Source organism: Homo sapiens, chromosome 17 (assembly GCF_000001405.40).
Source record: "Homo sapiens chromosome 17, GRCh38.p14 Primary Assembly".
Lineage (NCBI taxonomy): Eukaryota > Metazoa > Chordata > Mammalia > Primates > Hominidae > Homo > Homo sapiens.
The window spans coordinates 20,691,203-20,712,151 of record NC_000017.11 but is presented as its reverse complement, the minus strand read 5'-3'; the positions used below and the strand labels follow the sequence as shown (position 1 = coordinate 20,712,151).

The following is a 20,949-nucleotide window of genomic DNA, read 5'->3' as shown; positions in this document are numbered from 1 at the left end:
AAAATGGTATCAACTGGTGATCACCAACCTATCCTTGGAACTCTTAGAAAAGTTTTTAAAAATTTCAAAAGTATATTATTTTTGAACTGCTCAGGAGGTTTAAATTTTTGAATTTTTAAAATAAGCAATCAATTGTGAGGAAGTCTGAGAAGCCACAGACTAAGAGATAAGATGAAAAACAAGGAAAGTAGAATCACAGTAATGAAAGGAATAGAGTTTCAAAATGCTGTGGTCAGTAGCTTCAATGCAAAAGAAAGTTAAATTAAGGACGAACTCAGTAACGACAACTGGATTCAGCAACTGGGAAGTCAGTGATGACCTAGGGTACAGGAGCTTCATTGAAATAGTACAGTTGGGCCACGGCACGTGGCCCACACCTATAATCCAGCAGTTTGGGAAGCCGAGGTAGGTGGATCTCTTGAGGCCAGGAATTCAAGACCAGCCTACCCAACGTGGTGAAACCCCATCTCTACTAAAAATACAAAAATTAACCAGATATAGTGGCACGCCCCTGTAATCCCAGCTACTCAGGGAGCTGAGGTATGAGAACTGCTTGAACCTGGAAGGCAGTGAGCCGAGACAGGGCCACTGCACTCCAGCCTGGGTGACAGGGCAAGACTGTCTAAAAACCAAAAAATAGCCCAGGCGTGGTGGCTCATGCCTGTAATCTCAGCACTTTGGGAGGCTGAGGCAGTTGGATCACAAGGTCAGGAGATCGAGACCAACCTGGCTAACACAGTGAAACCCCGTCTCTACTAAAAATACAAAAAATTAGCTGGGCGTGGTGGTGGGCGCCTGTGGTCCCACCTCCTTGGGAGGCTGAGGCAGGAGAATGACATGAACCCGGGAGGTGGAGATTGCAGTGAGCTGAGATCACGCCACTGCACTCCAGCCTGGGCAACAAAGCAAGACCCCCTCTCAAAAAAAAAAAAAAAAGGAAGTAAACTGGGTATCTGCCTTTAGAGGTGTTGTACGTTTTCAGCATTATAAATGAATAGAGATGAGTGGCAATAGTTACTTGGTACATAGATTTTTGGTATCTTAACTAGTTTTGGATCTCTTCCACTAAAGGGACTGCCTGTTGAACGTTGTTAGGAATGTAAGTACTGAAGGCAAACTGCCTGGGTTTGAATTTTGTTCTGTCCCTTGCACCCTGCCTGGCTTCAAATCCTAGCTCTGCTTATTAAGTTCTTTTAAGGGGATGATCTTTGAGCAAACGTCTTAGCTTCTGTTTTCCCAAGTAAATGGACACAATAGTTGCTACCTTGTGAAAGATTCATGTAATTGACCAGTGTTTACCAAGTAGCATCAGTGTTCAGTTTCAGTCATTGGTGATTCAGCAGTTGGACTGTGATGGGGTGTTGGGGTGGGGGTGGTGTGTGTGTGTGTGTAGCACTTAATTGCACACAGAAAGGAAAAGATACTTTTGATGACCGAGAGGCAGCTTTTCTCTGCTTTTGTGTCAAAAGGGAGGAAGGGAGTTTGGAGAGGGAAACCAATTCTGTTCAATACTAAGCTCTCTTCCTCAAAATCAGAGGTACATAGAATGTGTAATAACTTACAGAATTTCTAGACTTCAACAATCTGAATTTTTTAAAATTCATTTTTATTTTTTCAGGTTGAGACTGAGCTAAAGTTAATCTGTGGCGACATTCTGAATGTACTGGACAAACACCTTATTCCAGCAGCTAACACTGCCAAGTCCAAGGTTTTCTATTATGAAATGTAGGTTCTATACTAAAAATTAACAAGTGTACTTCAATAATTTTAAACACGCTCAGGAATAATTGGCTTTGTTTCTTTTTTCTTAGATATTTCCTATCATTTTCCTTATTAAATATAACCAAAAATCCCACAGAAATTAACTGAGGAGCCTCTAAATATCAACAAAATTATCACTTGATAGACTAGAATTAAACAAGCAAGTGGTTCCAAGAAATGGCACAAGTGTATTAATCATAAAATAAAATGTCTACATGAAACATTCAGCCAGCACTGTGAAATGTGTGGCCGTTTGGGGGAGGGGAATGAGATAGGTCCCATGAAAGCAAAAGAATATAAGTAAGTAAAGCAAAAGCTAATGCATTTTTATAATAGCCTGACCATCTGTTTATTCCCACATTAACTATCCTTCTAACATTAAACAATTATTTTTTTAAAAAAGTTGGAAACCTACATAGAAGGAAGTCATGATTCTAAAAAGGCCAACTTTTAATCTTACATTTTCCTTTCTAGTATAGAACCTACATTTCATAATAGAAAACCTTGGACTTGCCAGCGTCAGCTGCTGAATGAGGTGCTTGTCCAGTGCATCCAGCAGGTCGCCACAGATTAACTTTAGTTCAGTCTCAACCTGAAAAAATAAAAATACATTTAAAAAAATCAGATTGTTTCAGTCTAGAAATTCTGTAAATTATTACACATTCTATCTACCTCTGATTTTGAGGAAGAGAGCTCAGTATTACAGAGAATTGGTTTCCCTCTCCAAACTCCCTTCTTCCCTTTTGACACAAAAGGAAGAGAAAAGCTGCCTCTCGGTTATAAAAAGTATCTTTTCCTTTCTGTGTGCAATTAAGTGCTACACACACACCACCCCCACCCCAGCACCACCTCACAATCCAACTGCAGAATCACCAATGACTGAAACTGAACACTGATGCTACTTGGTAAACACTGGTCAATTACATGAATCTTTCACAAGGTAGCAACTATTGTGTCCATTTACTTGGGAAAACAGAAGCTAAGACATTTGCTCAAAGATCATCCCTTAAAAGAACTTTAATAAGCAGAGCTAGGATTTGAAGCCAGGCAGGGTGCAAGGGACAGAACAAAATTCAAACCCAGGCAGTTTGCCTTCAGTACTTATATTCCTAACAACGTTCAACAGGCAGTCCCTTTAGTTGAAGAGATCCAAAACTAGTTAAGATACCAAAAATCTATGGACCAAAAAAACTATTGCCACTCATCTCTATTCATTTATAATGCTGAAAATGTACAGCACCTCTAAACGCACATACCCAGCTTGCTTCCTATTTTTTTTTTTCTTTTTTTTTTTTTGAGACTGAGTCTCACTTTTTCCCGCAGGCTGGAGTGCAGTAGTGCGATCTCGGCTCACTGCAACCTCCGCCTCCGGGATTCAAGCTATTCTGGTGTCTCAGCCTTCCGAGTAGCTGGTATTACAGGCACTTGCCATCACACCTGGCTAATTTTTGTATTTTTCTTTTTTCTTTTCTTTTTTCTTTTTTTTTTTTTTTGAGACAAGAGTCTAGCTCCTCGCCCAGGCTGGAGTGCAGTGGCACGGTCTCCGCTCACTGCAAGCTCCCCCTCCCGGGTTCACGCCATTCTCCTGCCTCAGCCTCCGGAGTAGCTGGGACTACAGGCGCCTGCAACCATCCCTGGCTAATTTTTTGTATTTTTAGTAGAGACGGGGTTTCACCGTCTTAGCCAGGATGGTCTCGATCTCCTGACCTCGTGATCCGCCCACCTTGGCCTCCCAAAGTGCTGGGATTACAGCCGTGAGCCACCGCGCCCAGCCCCTGATTTTTGTGTTTTTCTTAGTAGAGACAGAGTTTCACCGTGTTGGCCAGGCTGGTTTCAAACTCCTGAACTCAGGTGATCCGGCTGCCTCAGCCTCCCAAAGTGCTGGGATTGCAGGCATAAGCCACCACGCCCGACCTTGTCACAGTTTTTTTTTTGTTTTTGTTTTTGTTTTGTTTCTTTTTTTTTAAGAGACGGAGTCTCACTCTGTCTCCCAGGCTGAAGTGCGGTGGTGCGATCCTGGCTTACTGCAACCTCCGCCTCCCGAATTCAAGCAATTCTTTTGCCTCAGCCTCCTGAGTAGCTGGACTACGTGTGCATGCCGCCACGCCCAGTTGATGTTTTTTGTATTTTAGTAGAGACGGGGTTTCACTGTGTTGCCCAGGCTGGTCTTGAACTCCTTAGCTCAGGCAATGCGCCCGCCTCAGTCTCCCAAAGTGCTAGGATTATAGGCATGAGCCACTGCGCTTGGCCTAACAACGTTTTAAAAGCGAAAAGTTATGTACATATAAATATTCCTTACATTTGTATCTACATTATTAAAAACCACGAACCAGCTGAGTATAAATGGGGGAACAGTTTAACACACATCAGTAAGACTGAAACTTGTTTATGCTGAGAGAAAATATACGCCGGGCGCGGTGGCTCATGCCTGTAATCCCAGCACTTTGGGAGGCCGAGGCGGGTGGATCACGAGGTCAGGAGATCGAGACCATCCTGGCTAACACGGTGAAACCCCGTCTCTACTAAAGATACAAAAAATTAGCCAGGCGCGGTGGCAGGCGCCTGTGGTCCCAGCTACTCGGGAGACTGAGGCTGGAGAACGGCGTGGACCCGGGAGACGGAGCTTGCAGTGAGCAGAGACCACGCCACTGCACTCCAGCCTGGGCGACAGACCGAGACCCTATCTCAAAAAAAGAAAAAGAGAATCCACATTTCTAGCCCTACTCCCAAGCACACAAATCTTGGAAGATTCTTGTCTTACCAAAGTCTGGGCACCACTATGCTAAATGTTTCTTCCGTACCCCAGTGATTTTTCTGTTTGCTTTAGGGCTCAAAAGAGAGTCATTGCAGTGGTGGGGTCGGCTTTTAACCTCTCTCTTTTCCTGGAAACCAGTTGATGCCTGTAAGAGGGGTTTCCTGAGCTCTCTGAATAACTTCAATTTGTTCTTTTTGGGCCAAGCACTGTGCTACCTGGTCCTGCTGATGAGAGTTCGGCTAGAGGGAGGGGTGGGGAGGGGCCTGGGCTGGGGGACCAGCTGGGGGGCAGCCTGCAGCCCTGAACCCTAATCCTCGTCACTGTCCCTTCTCTGCCTCATAAAGGTGTTCTTGCTCTTTCTCATTTCTAGCCAAGCCTCCTCCCTCCACACACGTGTTCTCATCCAGATCAGTTTCGATTCCTGCTGGTGGAAAGCAGCCTCAGGCAGGGCCACTGTGCAGGAAGAGCCGGCCTGGGTGCAGGCGGGGCTCCGGGAGTCACCCCAAGATGCCCGGCTGCCCTTCATTGTCCTCCGCATGACGCCGGTGCCAGAGCCCACGTGAGCCTTTGCCAAGGAGAGATTCAGAGACGTGAGCAGAAGAGCCTGAAGAGGGACTTCTTCAATAAGGCAGCAGGAGGGTTTGGCTGATGGAAGATGTTTCCCGGAGGCCTGTTCACGCTCCACCCTGAAAGCCCCAGGGCCCTGAAAGCCCCAGGGCCGTCCCCTCCAGGTTGCAGGATGATCCAGGAACTTGTTCTCCTCAGCACTGTGTAGATTTCAGCTTATGAGTTCTGTCCATGTTTTGTGAGATTTATAGCTAAGTATTTAATTTTTCGAGTGATTATAAACAACATAGCAGTTTTAATTTTAGTGTCTACTTGTTTTTTATTACTATATAGAAATACAATCGGTTTTCATATATTTATGTTGCATGCTGTGCGCTTCTAAACTCACTAGTTTCGGAAGCTGTTTTTTGTTTTTAGATTCCTTAAAATTTTATATAGGGGCAATCATGTCATTTAAAATAGGAACAGTTTGATAATAATCAACCTGCATGCCTTTTATTGTAAGAAAATCCCTAAATGCTGGGATTACAGGTGGTGAGCCACCGTGCCCAACCAGAAACTTTTTTGGTGATTTCAGATGAACTTGACTTTTACTGTAATTATACCTGAAGTGTTTGTAAACAATTGTTTAGAACTTCTATTTGTCATGGACTTATGAGTTTATTCTTTGGATCACATAGTAAGACTTTTTTTGTCTTTAAAGTTATAAATCTCTGTATGTACTTTGCTTTTCTTAATTAAACATAATCCAAAGTAAGCTGTGACTTATTTATTTATTTATTTGAGACAGGGTCTCACTTTGTCACCCAGGCTGTGGCTCGATCTTGGCTTACTGCAGCCTCAACCTCCCAGGCTCAAGCAATCTTCCCACCCACCTATGCCTCCCGAGTAGCTGGGACTATAGGCATGCACTACCAGGCCTAGCTAATTTTTGTATTTTTTGTAGAGGCACGGTTTCTCCATGTTGCCCAGGCTGGTCTCAAACTCGTGGACTCAATCAGTCCTCCTGCATCGGCCTCTCACAGTGTTGGGATTACAGGTGTGACTTTGCCACCATCCCCGGTTTCTTTTTTTCAACAGGCAGAGTTTAACTGTCATGGAAGGTTCCTGCCTCAGCCTCCCAAAGTGCTTGGAATACAGGTGGAAGCCACTGCACCCATCCAGCTATGATTCTTTGGTAGTGTGTACAAGATTGTACACTACCAATGTATCTGATTTTCAATTTTGCTTGAGATGTGATGCAAGTGGTGTCAGCCTGCTGATAAGATAACACTGTCAGGATGAATCTTCCACAGAAATAATTGCTTTTTTCCCCAGTATTTAGTACTGAAAGATATTAATGGTAATCTATTTGTGGCTTAATATAAATTAAGCATGTTTTCTAGTTGTGCATGAATGCTGGCTGGCAACTTAGTAAGTTTTGACAGTTGTTTAAATACGTAATGTTAAGCTTAGGTTTTAAAAAAGTAAAACTTAAAAAGGAAAATAAAAAGAATCTCAGGATCCCCAAACTCCTTATGCCAAAGAGAAAGTTAAGCCTGGAGCTTGTGCCACACAACACTGCCATGCTTTTGCCAAGTGCAAAGCTGCTACTTCACAACCTTGTGTGAAAGCATGAAGCATTAGCCAGACCTCCACAGGATGCAAAAGGCCTCAGGCAGCTCCAGATGTTTGCCCCACAAATCAGTCACACTTAAATATTTTGCTGCCTCAAAAACTTTCAAGATGTATATCCGCCCATAAAATGAGGGCATGTTGATTGTAACTTTAGGTCTGCAATCTAAATATAGCTCTTAAAACCAACATTGTTCCTTTCTACACAGATAATGTTGATTCCAAGTTTATCTTTCCAGGTGCAGAACAAAGCAAAGATGAGATTAATCATTCTTCCACCTACCCGGAGACACCTGCACAATTAATTCTTCCTTTACTCCCTTTTTTCCTTCAGAAGTTCACCTTATCTTACGTAAAATGCAGATCTACTGGGCACTAACTAAAGTCTCACAAGAATATAACTATTCCCTGTCTCACTACCTACCTGCCCCTCATCCTACATGCCTTCCCCACCCCCCCTTTTTTTTTTTTGAGATAGAGTTTCGCTCTTGTTGGCCAGGCTGGAGTGCAATGGCGTGATCTTGCCTTACCGCAACTTCCGCCTCCCGGGTTCAAGCAATTCTCCTGCCTCAGCCTCCCGAGTAGCTGGGATTATAGGTATGCACCACGACGCCCGTCTAATTTTGTATTTTTAGTGGAGATGGGGTTTCTTCATGTTGGTCAGGCTGGTCTCCAACTCCAGACCTCAGGTGATCTGCCTGCCTCGGCCTCCCAAAATGCTGGGATTACAGGCTTGAGCCACCGTGCCTGGCCATGCCTTCCCCTTTTTAAGGATATGTATAAATACTAAATCTCTTTAAAACTTCTTCAGAGAATCCATGCCATAGACTCTTTCTGTGCCTTGTGTATTTCCTGGGCACTTCCTCAAGCTTGGACTCAATAAACTTTGGCTGATGGAGACTTAACTCAGCCTGTCATTTTTTTTGTTTAACAAACCGATAAACTGCTGTTCATTATTTACTTTTAAAAAAATAAAATAAATATGAATGTGTTTGGCACATTCAAAAAAATTTAAGGACTGCTTTTGAAAGACACTGTTGAAAAAATGAAAAGATAGTCCCAGGCTAAGAGAAAATATTTGAAAATCAGATTTCTGATAAAGTGCTTGCATCTGTCAAGTCTTGTTAAATACCAACAAAAAAAAAAAAAAAAGAAAAGTACTCTCATCCAAAATATGTAAATTACTCTCAAAACTAAATAATGAGAAAACCATCTAAGTTTATAAATGGGCAACACGTTGAAACAGACAATGCAAAAAAAGAAGAGACACAGGCATAAATAACCAACTGAATAAATGTTCAACATCATCACTCTTTAAGGAAATGCAAATTAAAACCATTAATGAGACACCACTACACAACTATTAGAATGTCTAAAATGAAAACATTTCACTCAGGCTTGAGAGGCTGATAATGAAGTTCTGCCTAAGTCCTGTCACCCAGAGTTATCTGATATACCTTAGGAATGCACCCTGAGGCTGGGTAATTTACAAAGAAAAGAGATTTACTTTGGTTCACAGTTCTAGAGGCTGGGAAGTCCAAGATTGGGCAGCTCATCTGGTCAGCTTCTGGTGAGGGCCTTTGACCTGTGTCCTAACATGGCAGAGAAGCAGAAGGGCAAGCAAGCGTGTGCCAGAGAGAGAGAACAAAATAGGCTGACCTGCTTTATAACAACCTACTCTCAGGAGAGCTAATCCATTCTCTTGATAACTCACCCAGAGGAAGTCATTCATCCATCCTGATAACCCAGTCACCTCTTAAAGACCCTGCCTCCAAACACCATCATGTTGGCAAGTAAATTTCAACATGAGTTTTGGTTGGCACAAACCACATTCAAATCATAGCACCTGTCAAGCAGAGACCAGCCTGTCCTAAACACCCTGAAGGAAGTGCCTAGGGTAAGGCCCTGTGGGGGGACAGGGAACAGAATAAACCTGGCAGTGGTAGATTCTCAGTCTGGTTCATAGAGACCATCATACTTACATTTAAAAAAAATTTTTTTTTTTTTGAGATGAAGTCTCACTCATGTTGCCCAGGCTGGAGTGCAATGGCACGATCTTGGCTCACTGCAACCTTTGCCTCCTGGGTTCAAACGATTCTCTTGCCTCAGTCTCCCAAATAGCTGGGATTACAGGCACCTACTACCACACCCGGCTAATTTTTGTTCTTTTAGTAGAGACTGGGTTTCACCATGTTGGCCAGGCAGGTCTCGAACTCCTGACCTCAGGTGATCCTCCCACCTTGGCCTCCCAAAGTGCTAGAATTACAGGCATGAGCCACCGTGCCCGGCCACATTTTTAAAAATTTTAATTGCAGGCAGGTGCAGTGGTTCATGCCTGTAAATCCCAGCATTTTGGGATGCCAAGGTGGGCAGATTCACTTGAGCTCAGGAGTTTGAGATGAACCTGGGCAAGAGGGCGAAACCCTGTCTCTACCAAAAGTACAAAAAATTAGCCGAACATGGTGGCATGAGCCTGTGGTCACAGCTACTCAGGAGGCTGAGGTGGGAGGATGGTTTGAGCCCGAGGGTGGTGAGAAGGGGTGGGGGTGGCGAGGAGGTTGTGGTGAACTGAGATCACACCACTACACTCTGGCCTGGATGACAGAGTTAGACCCCATTTAAAAAAAAAAATTAATTGTGGTAAAACACACATAATATAAAATGTACCATATTAACCAGTTTTAGGTATACAGTTCAGAGGTATTAAGAACATTCATGCTGTTATACAATTATCACTACCATCCATCCACAAAACTCTTTTCATCTTGTAAAACCAGAACTCTATACCTATTAAATGACAAGTCTTCATTCCCCCTCCTACCAGCCCCTAACCACCGTTCTACTTTCTTTTGTTGATTCTGGCCACTCTAGGTATCTCAGACAAGTGAAATCATACAGTGCTTTTTCTTTCTTTTTTTTTTTTTTTTTGAGACAGTCTCACTTTGTTGCCCAGGCTGGAGTGCAGTGGTGCGATCTCAGCTCACTGCAACCTCTGCCTCCCAGGTTCAAGCGATTCTCCTGCCTCAGCCTCCTGAGTAGCTGGGACTACAGGCACTCATCACCACGCCCGGCTACTTTTTATATTTTTAATAGAGACGGAGTTTCACCATGTTGGCCAGGCTGGTCTTGAACTCCTGACCTCAGGTGATTTTCCCACCTTGGCCTCCCAAAGTGCTGGGATTACAGGTGTGAGCCACCGCACCCAGCCTACAGTGCTTGTTCTTTTATGACTTTTATTTCACTTAATGTTCTCAAGGACCATCCATGTTGTGGCATGTGCCAGAATTTCCTTCCTTTTTAGGGCTGAATGTATGTCTGGCCCACATTTTGTTGACCACTCATCCATTGATGGACACGTGTTGCTTTCACCTCTTGGCTTTTGTGAATGATGCTGCTACAAACCTGGGTGTTCACATGTCTCTTTGAGTTCCTGCTTTTGGTTATTTGGGGGATATACCCAGAAGTGGAATTGCTGGACCATATAGTAATTCTATGATGAGGTTTTTGAGGAACAGCCATGCTGTTTTCACAGGGTTCCAGTTTACTCACATTCTAGCCAAAAGTTGTTATTTTCTGGATTTTTTTTTTAATCATAGGCATCCTAATGAGCGTGAGGTGGCAGACTCCCTCAGTCTATAGGGCAGAGAACAGAGAGCCTCCGAGAAGGGTCTGTGACTTTGAACACTAGAGCTCTGAGCAGGAACATTCCCGAGGGCTGCTTCTAGTCTCCTGAAGACCAGAGCTAACCACTGGGAATGGATTGTGGTGACTGAAGGGTGCCGAAGTCAGAACTCTCAGTGGCCTGGCACTGTGCCTCGAAGTGCCTCCCTACTGTACTGTGTTGATTAGTCTAAAAACATGTCAGCCTTTGGGTATGACCTTACTGGGGCACCTCCAGACAGGGTGTGGAGCAGAGGGCCCTCCTTTATGGGCTGGACTCACTAGTGAAGCTGCTTAACTGTGACTCACCTCCAAGGCTCAAGGTGATGCTAAGGTGCTAAACTGCTGGAACTCTTAGCTGTGCCTGTGTCTCCTTGGGCTCTGGGAGATATTTTCTTTTAGCAGTATTTTACGGAGATATCGTCTAGGTAGAGTAAAATGTACAGATCCTGGTTTTCTGTTTGAGTTTTGTTTTGTTTTGAGACAGGGTCTTGCTCTGTCACTCAACCTGCAGTGCAGTGGTGTGATCATAGCTCACTGTGGCCTCAGCCTCCCAGGCTCAAGCAATCCTCCTGCCTCAGCCTCCCTGTAGCTGGGACTACAGGCATGCACCACCATGCCTCACTAAGTTTTTTGATTTTTAGTACACAGAAGGTCTTGCTATGCTGCCCAGGCTGGTCTCAAACTCCTGGACTCAAGCAATCCTCCTGCCTCAGTCTCCCAAAGTGCTGAATTACAGGTGTCAGCTGCTGCACCCAGCCTCAGCCTGTTGTTAATGGATGTAAACACCTGTGGGACCACCACCCAGAACCAGATCCAGAACATTTCCAGCCTCTCCAAGACTCCTTCGTGCCCCTCCCAGTCAGTGACTCCCAAGGGTAACGCCACTCTGGCCTGTTGTTCAACTTGACTCGAATGGAATTCTCACAGCATGTGTCTGTTTGGATCTGGCTTCTTCCGCTCAGTTGCAAGGCTCATTGACGTTTCCTGTGGCCTAGCTCCTTTTTATTGCTGAGGGCCACCCTGTGGTGTGAAAACCACAATTCATTTCTCCCTTCTTCTGTTGGTGACCATTTGCATTGTTACCAGCTTGGGGCTACGATGAGTAAAGCTTTTAAAAACAGACAAATATGTTTTCCTTTCTCTTGGGTAATTTTTCAGAAGTAGAAAAGCCAGAACATAGAAGTAGATATTTGACTGTATTACAACTCACCAAGCAGTTTTTTTTTTTTTTTTTTTTTTTTAATTTTTTGAGACAGTCTTGCTCTATTACCTAGGCTGGAGCTCAGTGGCGTGATGAGGGTTCACTGCAGCCTCGGCCTCCTGGGCTCAAGTGAGCCTCCCACCTCAGCCTCCCACATAGCTGGGACCACAGGTGTCCACCACCACACCTGGCTAATTTGCCTTGTAAATTATATGTAGAGACAGGGTCTTCCTATCTTGGCCAGGCTGGTCTCAACCTCCTGGACTCAAGTGATCCTCCCGCTTCAGCCTCCCAAAGGGCTGGGATTACAGGCATGAGCCACCACGCCCTGCCCATTTTTTTAAGTTGGATTATTTTACACTCAAGTCTGCTATGAATGATAGTTCCAGTTGTTCCATATCCCAATCAATTGGTGATTGCCTACAAATGACGTGACGTGATGAAAATATTCCTGGTGTTCGAGAGGATTGCAAAGAATTTCCCTTCCTTTCTCTCCTTTCTGCTCCCCTTGTACTGTCTATTCCTTAACTTGGTCAGATTCTACTTGATCCAGAACATAATGGGATGGAGAGTGCAGACGACACACACGGCCTCAGTCTATGGGAGCATCTCAAAGGAATTCATCTGCAAATTCTAGTGCATCTAGGCAGAGCACAGGAAGGAAGAGACGTGCAGACTCACGTATGGCCTGGGGCACCTGCCATCCCCTCGAGCCTGTATGGTCCTTACCCGCCCATCCCCAGCTTGAGTTCTGGGCCTTCTCGCCAGCACATCGTTGGGACCTGGTCAACTTCAGGTAAGTTTATTTCATGGCTCCCTCTCCCCTCTGCAGCCTATCCTGTTATTCTCTGTTTCAGCCAATTATTTCCCCTAACTAGCTGCTGAAGCCAATTAAAGGCAGTTCATGCCATATGTTCCTTCCCACTCCCATGTCGCTTGAAATGTTCTGTTATGTCCAAGACTTCTCTCCCCATCCTAAAGCTCAGAAAATAAGGATGGAGAAGAGAAAAAAGAGAGATTCACTGAGAGGGAGGATCAGAAGCTCCTGGGCACCACATACTCTAGAATAAAAATCTTCATTATAGTGTTTTTCATGCAAAATATTCCCTTCTACATAATTATGTTTTTACATGAAGAATAGAAATTTAAAGAGGAGAAATACTTTTTGAAGAGTCTGAGAATCTTCATATAGCTCAGGCTGCCACGAATTAGCTGTGTGACCTGGGGCATCTCCCTTAGACTCTGAGCCTCAGCTTCTCTATATGTAAAATGGGTTGAAGCCGCCCTTCCCCACAAGCACCCTGTGCACAGGCAATGCCCAGCCCCATTATTTTCTGGAACCAGTGGCCAAGCATGCTTAGGACACCCAGCCACATACTTCTGGGCAGTGTCATCTGGCAACTCACTGTCATGTCAGTGTGGTCAAGCATTGTAGACCTCTATAAACCAATTATGCTTCAGGCTGGGGTTGAGCACAGGAGAGGGAGGAGGGAAAGGTCACTGGGGCTGGGAGTGCCTACTTCCCTCTATGAGTGTCACCCCAGTTCAACCAGCACCCTACCACCTTTCTCTCTCTGGACCCACTTCCTCTTGCTGCCGGCTCCTCCCCATTGAATAACAGCCAAGTTGCTTTGGTTTCTATTTCTTTGTTAAGTCATTCCTTCTGCAAAGGACTGCCTGGCAGGTGTGAAAGGCAGCGGTGGCCACAGAGGCGGTGGAGATGGCCTTCAGCGGTTCCCAGGCTCCCTATCTGAGCCCAGTGAGTTCCAGGGCCGTGGGCACAGGGCTGCCTCAGCCAGGGGGACACAGTTATGGGGCTCTGAGGGTGGCAGGAGATAGGGGTGGGAGCATCCCAAAGAGTACACAAGCAGGGAAGAAATGTCAGTAGGGGTCATCCTGGCACACCTGTGCCATGCTGAGCTCACTCATGCCTGGAGGGATGCTCCTCCCATGAGTCATGGGTTTGACAGTGTTGACTGAGCTGTCCTGTCCTGTCCTGTGCGCTCAGGGGAAGAGGTGTAGAGTGGGATGGTTTGTGTAAAGAGGAAGCAAGCATGCTTCTGGGACAGTAAGGATGCTACCCGGCATGGTAGTTAAGGGTGCGTACTGTGGAGTTGGCCTCCCTGGGTCCAGCTATTTACTGGCTGGTGGTCTCTGGGCCTCAGTTTCCATACACTGGTGTGGATCCCTGAGCGGGCCACATCTGTCCTTCTCTGTTCACCCTGCTTTCTCACCACCCTCACCCTTGTAGGCTGCCGTCCGACCCCAACTCCTCCAACTCACAGTGCTCCAGATCTGCTCTGGGTCTTTGGAGTCCCTCTTGCTCCCAGGCACAGCCCTGACTTTTGAGTGCTCCCCTGGCGACAGTGGCCAGTGGTCTTGGCCCTTGCCCAAGGCTCTTCCTCCATTCTACCCTAGAAAGCAGCCCTGGCAAGAGCACCTGGGCCCAGACCCTGCCTCCAACTCTGATTTCTAACCTCAAAACATAGATGGAAACAGTAATATTGGTATTGCAAAATGTATACTTCAAGATTAAAAGGACTAACTAAAATTAAAGGTAAAAGCCACCACCAAGAAGATAGGGCTAGAAACCTTTATGTATGGTTCGACATAATCTCTTAGAAATCAAAGCTTTTTACACAAACCACAGTTCAGAGGAAGAGACTTCAACACATCCGACTCAGAATTCAGCAGATCAAGTGGCCACAAGGGATGAGAGACACTCGATCTGCCACTGAGGCACCGGGGTCGATGGCGGGCCTCAGACCACTCACACCCTGAGCCCCGAGAACAGGAGGAGGCCTAGCCTTACTTCTGCACAACTAACAGGTCCTTTCAGAAGACTTTCACCAAAACAAGGGCATCAGTCCCAGGGAAAACTTCAGTCTTCACTGTTAGAGAACACAAAAATTGTCTGGAACTTTTAAATGAGAAGTTTCCCAACTTCCAACCATTTCTTTTTTTTTTAAAGCTTCAAGTTTTCGTTTGTCAGATTTGAGAGTCAGAGTCTTATACCCAGAGTATAAAACATCTGTGGCTGGGTGCGGTGGCTCACGCCTGTAATCCCAGCACTTTGGGAGGCCGAGGCAGGCGGATCACAAGGTCAGGAGATCAAGACCATCCTGGCTAACATGGTGAAACCCCGTCTCTACTAAAAATACAAAAAATTAGCCGGGCATGGTGGCGGGCGCCTGTAGTCCCTGCTACTCGGGAGGCTGAGGCAGGAGAATGGCGTGAACCCAGGAGGCGGAGCTTGCAGTGAGGGGAGATCGTGCCACTGCGCTCCAGCCTGGGTGACAGAGCGAGACTCCGTCTCAAAAAAAAAAAAAAAAAAAAAAAACTTTGGCTGAGAATTAATTCTGTCACCAACACTACTAGAGAAGGCAGTAAAATAAATAAATATTACTTTTTCTTTTTTTTTTTTTTAAAAAAAAGTCAGGGACTCACTCTGTTGCCCACACTGGAGTGCAGTGGCATGATCACAGCTCACTGCAACCTTGAACTCCTGGGCTCAAGCAATCCTCCCACCTCAGCCTCACAAGTACCTGAGACTACAGGCATGTGCCACTATGCCCAGCTATTTTTCTAAAACGTTTTTGTAAGAGGAGGTCTTGCTATGTTGACCTGATTGGTCTCAAACTCCTGGCCTCAAGCGATTCTCCCACCTTGGCCTCCTAAAGCCCTGAGATTATAGGTGTGAGCTACTGCACTTGGCCCTTATTGCATTTTTGACTACATAAAAAGATAATACAGGGTTTTAGAGCTCACTAACATCATAACTAAAAAAATCAGGCCTTATTAACACAAAACTTTATTTATACTTAAAGCAAGCAACCACAAGCCAAATGTCTCTTCATCAATAAGAGTATAAAAAATAGTATGCTTCATATTAAATATTAACCATAATCAAGTAGAGATTTCCCACAACAGTAATACACCATAACCAAATTGGAATTTTGCCCCCAGATATGTAAGAATTTTTTCCTACTAGAAAATCTATTTATGTTATTAATTACATAAATAAGTTTAAAAAGAAACCATATGAATAGCTCATTAACTGCCAAAAAGGAATTTGCTATAATTCTTATCTATTTCGGGATTTAAAAAAACTCAGTAAATTCAAAACAGATGTAAGCTTCCCTTAATTGATAAACTATTCATCAGAAAACAATACAAAAATCTTAAAGTAAGATATTGCTATTAATGGAAAATAAAACAAGAATGTCCAGCATTAATAAGTATTAGTTGTTTCAGACTGTCATGAATGCAATAAACCCAAAAAAGTACAAGAGATATAAATATTGGAAAGAAGAAATAAAATTATTTGTAGTAATTTATCTGGCACACCAACAAGTATAATGAAATAATGAAAAATGCCAGGGCATAAAAATCATGACGACAATGCACATAACAGCACTGGCTGACACTCACAGGGCCCTGGCTGGGACCCAGGATGTTGTGCAGCATTCAGATCATGCTCTCATTTCTCTGCTCAGCAGCAACCTGTGGCAGAGGACCAGACCCACAGAGCCACAGAAGGGAACAACAAGTCCAGACACCACTCAGTTCCCATTCATACCTAGGCCTATCAGGTAGTTCAAGAGAGATGATGAAATAAGTGATGCTGAAATAAATGGCCATCCAGAACAAAGGAGTATGTGTATTTATATAATGTGTGTGTGTGTGTGTATGTGTGTGTGTGCATATATATATATACACACACACACACACACACACACAAAGGATATCTGGGACCTCTGTGACAGATATGGTTAATATCCTTCAGGAGAAACGAATAAAGTGCTCTGAGGCTTCCAGGCAGACAGCAATGAAATGCATGCACTCACAGTCTCATTCCATTGTGAAGCCCCACGAAACCACAGAAAGGCATTTCTTTTTTTCCCCCAAAAGCATTAACTGACAAGGAAAAAGAAAACAGCAAAGAAAATAAAACTTGGCAGCTGAAAAGTTGATGGACAAGAAATAACTAACAAAACAGACCTAAGCAAACTAAATCCCAAGCCAGCAGTGGGGAAGGGCAAAGACCTGATTATGGTACAAAATCCCCCAAAGGCTCAGGAAATTTGTGGCAAGAGGTGCTTCAGGTCGGGGGATGAAGGTGGTTAAAAACAGAAGGACTGGGTTAGAGATGTGTTCACAGAGCAGCCAAAGCTCCAGACACTCTCTCTTCCCTGCACACCAGAGCATAAAATGAAGCCTCTGGACCGGGTGGATATTGAGCAGTTGAGGCACAAGTGATACATTGAAAACAAGGGAATTAAACGAATTTACAAGGTGAGGGCTGAGATAGTCATTCTCCACCCCCAGGCCTCTTCTCTGACTGATCCCATAATCCTGGCTGCCAAGTCTAAGCCCTCAAGCAGGAGACTGGAAGGCCCTTCTCTGGGGAATGGATGAGCCCAAGAGGAAGGACCTAAAGACACTGACATCAGGAGTTTGTCATGGACATGCCACGGGAACAGCTCTCTACTATGAAGACCATAGTTGCAGGCCACATACACAGGCCCAGGCAGCGGTCAGCTTTGCAGAGCCTCCACCTAAACATGAGCAGTCAAACCTCAAGCATAAAGATAGAGAACTAAAGATACCAGTGGAACAAAGGGACTGTAGGAAACAACCCAGGTAGGGAGATTTGGTGATAGAATCAACCTACAATCTTCAGCGAAATTCATATATGACATTACATCTAGGAAACAAGAACAGGATGCTATAAAAAATTTAGGGAACAAAAAAATCCTAGAAGTTAAATATATGATAGCAAACATATCTGACGGAATTTTATTCAGCCTTAAAAAGAAATGAAATTCTGACATGCCATAATGTGGATGAACCTTGAGGTCATTATGCTAAGTGAAATAAGCCAGACAAAAAGGACAAATACTATATGATTTCACTTATATGAGGTACCTAGAGTAGTCAAATTCATAGTGATACAAAGTAGAATGGTGGCTGGGGGACAAGGGGAATGGCAGGTCAGTATTTAATGGGTAAGAGTTTCAGTTTTGCAAAATGAAAAAGTTCTGGAGATTGGTTACACAACAATGTGAATATACTCAACAATACTGAACTGTACACTTAAAAATGGTTCAGATGGTAAATTTTATGTTATACGTATTTTGCCACAATTAAAGTAAGAAAATTGAAGTGATGCAAAAACAAAAAAAAGATAGCAGAAATGAAGCATTTAATAGAATTTGGAAGATAAACTTAGGGAAGCCTCAAGTTTAATCCCAGAAAACAAAATTATAAGGCAAAGAGATAGAAAACAGGAGAAAAAAATATGATAATTAGGGGACCAGGGTAAAGGGAGTTCCAGAAAAAGAAAACAGAGTAGAAGAAATTACCAATGAAATAATTCCAGAAAATAAAGACACGAATTACTGTATTGAAAGGGTGCAGTGAGTGACTAGCATGACAAAAAAAAAAAAAAAAAGAAAGAAAGAAAGAAAGAAAAAAAAAGACCTTAAGCTATACAGCAAGGCAAACCACACTGAAAGTTTAGAATCCTGGCAACAGCCTGAACCTCCTATGAGCTTTTGGAGAGAAAAAAGTCACAAAGGACTGGAATTATTTTCTTCTTGCTGCAACACTGGCAAATAGAAGACAATGGAACAATTCCCACAAAATTATAAAGGGAAATAGTTGCTAACCTAAAATGTTATACCCAAGGAAACCATCAAGCATTAGGGTAAAACAAAGATGCAAGGCCATAAAATTTTACCTTCTATGAACCCATTCTCAGGGAGATACTGGAGGAAAAAAAAAGAAAAAGAAAAAGAATAGGATGTAGGACACAGAAGATCAAAAAAGAGAGAGGCAAAGAACTAACAGGGAATCTGTGCACCAGGCACAGAGGGCAGCCATGATGGAGGAGGTCAGAGGCTCCAGAGAGATCTCAAGATGACACTGCTGTGATCCCTGACCCCTGTGATGTGTGGGGATATCTCACAAAGAGTTGGGGTTGAATTAGTGACATTTACATAGAAAACTAAGTAAACAGGCTGGGTGTGGTGGCTCATGCCTGTAATTCCAGCACTTTGGGAGGCCGAGGCGGGTGGATTACCTGACGTCAGAAGTTCGAGACCATCCTGGCCAACATGGTGAAACTCCGTCTACTAAAAATACAAAAATTAGCTGGATGTGGTGGCATGTGCCTGTAATCCCAGCTACTTGGGAGGCTGAGGCAGGAGAATCACTTGAATCCAGGAGTAGGAGGATGCAGTGAACTGAGATCGTGCCATAGCACTCCAGCCTGGCGACAGAGTGAGACTCCGTCTCAAAAAAAAGCAAAAGAAAACTAAGTAAACAGACAAAAATAATTTTAGGTGGAGGGTGAATAAAAGGTTGTGTAAAAGAAAAAGCAGCAGCAGTGTATACTACTACATGGCTAATCTATGAATGACACTCACAGCATCTTAATGTGAACTCCAGGTACACAAAACCACAATGAGAGAATGCAAAGACAGGAAGCACGGAGGCTGGGGGCAGAAAAGAAATCCTCATCTTTCACAGTAGGAGATCAAAATATAACATCTAAAATGAAAAACTAGAAACAGCAGTGATAAGCATGCTATTTAGCAATGTAGAGGTAAATGCCAAAAAATCAGCAAGGTGACTTGAAAACACTTGACTCTGGGGAGCAGGAAGCAGAGCTCTCAGGCCAGGCTGACTGCTTTGCTTATCAGGATCTCTGCAGACTTGATTATGGGAACACAGAGCTTTCTTAGAAATAAAAAACAACACAAAACAAAAAACTGTTGCAAATTTTGAGGAAAAAAGAAGAACATGCAAACAGAAAAGCAAGCAAAGCAACTGTACTAGTAATTCACAGAAGAAAGATGTAAATGACTAACAAACTGATAAAAAGTGCTTCACTTTCATCTACAATGAAGAATTAAAAGGAATGCCATTTTCTCCTCTTAGGCTGAACAAGATCAAACATGTATCCAGTATTGGGAATGTGTATAATCTTGCACATTGTGTAGAGAAGTGTAAACTAAATAGCCTTACAGGAGAGCAATTTGAGAATATATATTAAAATGGAAAGTATAACACAACCTTTTGCAAAGCAAATTCACTTCTAGGAACTTATTTTACAAAAATTTAGCAGTATTTCACAACTATTTAGCACAAGCATAAAAAGGCACGATAAGTGATATTCATCATTATGGCCATTTTTTATCCCCAGAGATGGTGTCTCTCTTTGTTGCTCAGACTGGACTAGGGTAGCACGATCATAGTTCACTGCAGCCTTGAACTCTTGGGCTCAAGTCATTCTCCATCTTTAGCCTCTTAAGTAGCTGGTACTACAGAGGTTCATGCCACCACACCTGGTTGTTATTATTATTTTTTTTTTGGTAGACACAGGGTCTCATGATGTTGCCTAGGCTGGTTTCAAACTCCTGGCCTTAAGTAATCCTCCCACCTTGGCCTCCTAATGTGCTGAGATTACAGGAGTGAGCCACTGTGCCCAGCCACGACACTTTTAAAAAATAGGGTAAAATACATATATTTTACTTTATTAAAAAAAATTAATCCCCCTCCCTACCTTTCCCTTATGAGTCTCTAAAGTCTACCATACCACTCTGTATGCCTTTGCATACCCACAGCTTAGCTCCCACTCATGAGTGAGAACATACGATTTTTGATTTTCCACTCCTGTGTTACTTCATTTAGAATAATGGCCTCCAGCTCCATCCAAGTTGTTGCACAAGACATTATTTCATTCCTTTTTATGGTTAAGTAGTATTCCATGGTGTGTGTGTGTGTGTATGTATATATGTATGTGTGTGTGTGTGTGTATATGTATATATATATATAGTCACATTTTCTTTATCCACTCATTAGTCAATGGGCACTTAGGTTGGTTACACATCTTTGCAACTGTGAATGTGCTGCTATAAACATGCATGTGTGTCTTTTCCATATAATAACTTCTTTTCCTTTGGGTAGATACCCAGTAGTGGGATTGTTGAATTAAATGGTAGATCTATTTCTAGTTCTTTAAGGAATATCCATACTATTTTCCAAAGAGGTTGTATTAATTTACATTACCACCAGTAGTGTATAAGCGTTCCCTTTTCCCCACATCCACGCCAACATTTATTGTTTCTTGACTTTTTAATAATGGCCATTCTTGCAGGAGTAAGGTGGTCTCTCATTGTGGTTTTATTTTGCATTTCCCTAATGATTAGCGATGTTGAGTATTTTTTTCACATGTTTCTTGGCCATTTGTATATCTTCCTTTGAGAAATGTCTATTCATGTCCTTTGCCCACTTTCTGATAGGATTACTTGTTTTTTACTTGCTGATTTGTTTGAGTTCCTTGTAGATTCTGGATACTAGTCCTTTGTTGGACTGTAGTTTG

General features: G+C 43.4%; 1 pseudogene across 1 annotated transcript in view, besides 7 other annotated features; it reads right to left on the bottom strand.

Moving 5' to 3' along the window:
- The window catches only part of LOC100287072 (ribosomal protein S6 kinase B1 pseudogene), a 107,286-nt pseudogene that overhangs the window by 28,579 nt on the left and 57,758 nt on the right, over positions 1-20,949 (bottom strand). The gene's annotated exons all lie outside the window — the stretch shown is intronic.
- Positions 12,808-13,308: an enhancer, noted in NCBI's record as "H3K4me1 hESC enhancer chr17:20602157-20602657 (GRCh37/hg19 assembly coordinates)". NCBI's record gives its function as "activates a minimal SCP1, AML or CMV promoter by ChIP-STARR-seq in naive H9 embryonic stem cells {active_cell/tissue: H9 hESC(naive)}" and the evidence as "EXISTENCE:reporter gene assay evidence [ECO:0000049][PMID:30033119]".
- Positions 13,134-13,283: an enhancer, noted in NCBI's record as "active region_11872". NCBI's record gives its function as "activates an Ori minimal core promoter by ATAC-STARR-seq in GM12878 lymphoblastoid cells {active_cell/tissue: GM12878}" and the evidence as "EXISTENCE:reporter gene assay evidence [ECO:0000049][PMID:35858748]".
- Positions 13,294-13,343: an enhancer, noted in NCBI's record as "active region_11871". NCBI's record gives its function as "activates an Ori minimal core promoter by ATAC-STARR-seq in GM12878 lymphoblastoid cells {active_cell/tissue: GM12878}" and the evidence as "EXISTENCE:reporter gene assay evidence [ECO:0000049][PMID:35858748]".
- Positions 13,294-13,809: a biological region, named in NCBI's record as "H3K4me1 hESC enhancer GRCh37_chr17:20601656-20602156".
- Positions 13,309-13,809: an enhancer, noted in NCBI's record as "H3K4me1 hESC enhancer chr17:20601656-20602156 (GRCh37/hg19 assembly coordinates)". NCBI's record gives its function as "activates a minimal SCP1, AML or CMV promoter by ChIP-STARR-seq in naive H9 embryonic stem cells {active_cell/tissue: H9 hESC(naive)}" and the evidence as "EXISTENCE:reporter gene assay evidence [ECO:0000049][PMID:30033119]".
- Positions 13,434-13,523: an enhancer, noted in NCBI's record as "active region_11870". NCBI's record gives its function as "activates an Ori minimal core promoter by ATAC-STARR-seq in GM12878 lymphoblastoid cells {active_cell/tissue: GM12878}" and the evidence as "EXISTENCE:reporter gene assay evidence [ECO:0000049][PMID:35858748]".
- Positions 15,981-16,030: an enhancer, noted in NCBI's record as "active region_11869". NCBI's record gives its function as "activates an Ori minimal core promoter by ATAC-STARR-seq in GM12878 lymphoblastoid cells {active_cell/tissue: GM12878}" and the evidence as "EXISTENCE:reporter gene assay evidence [ECO:0000049][PMID:35858748]".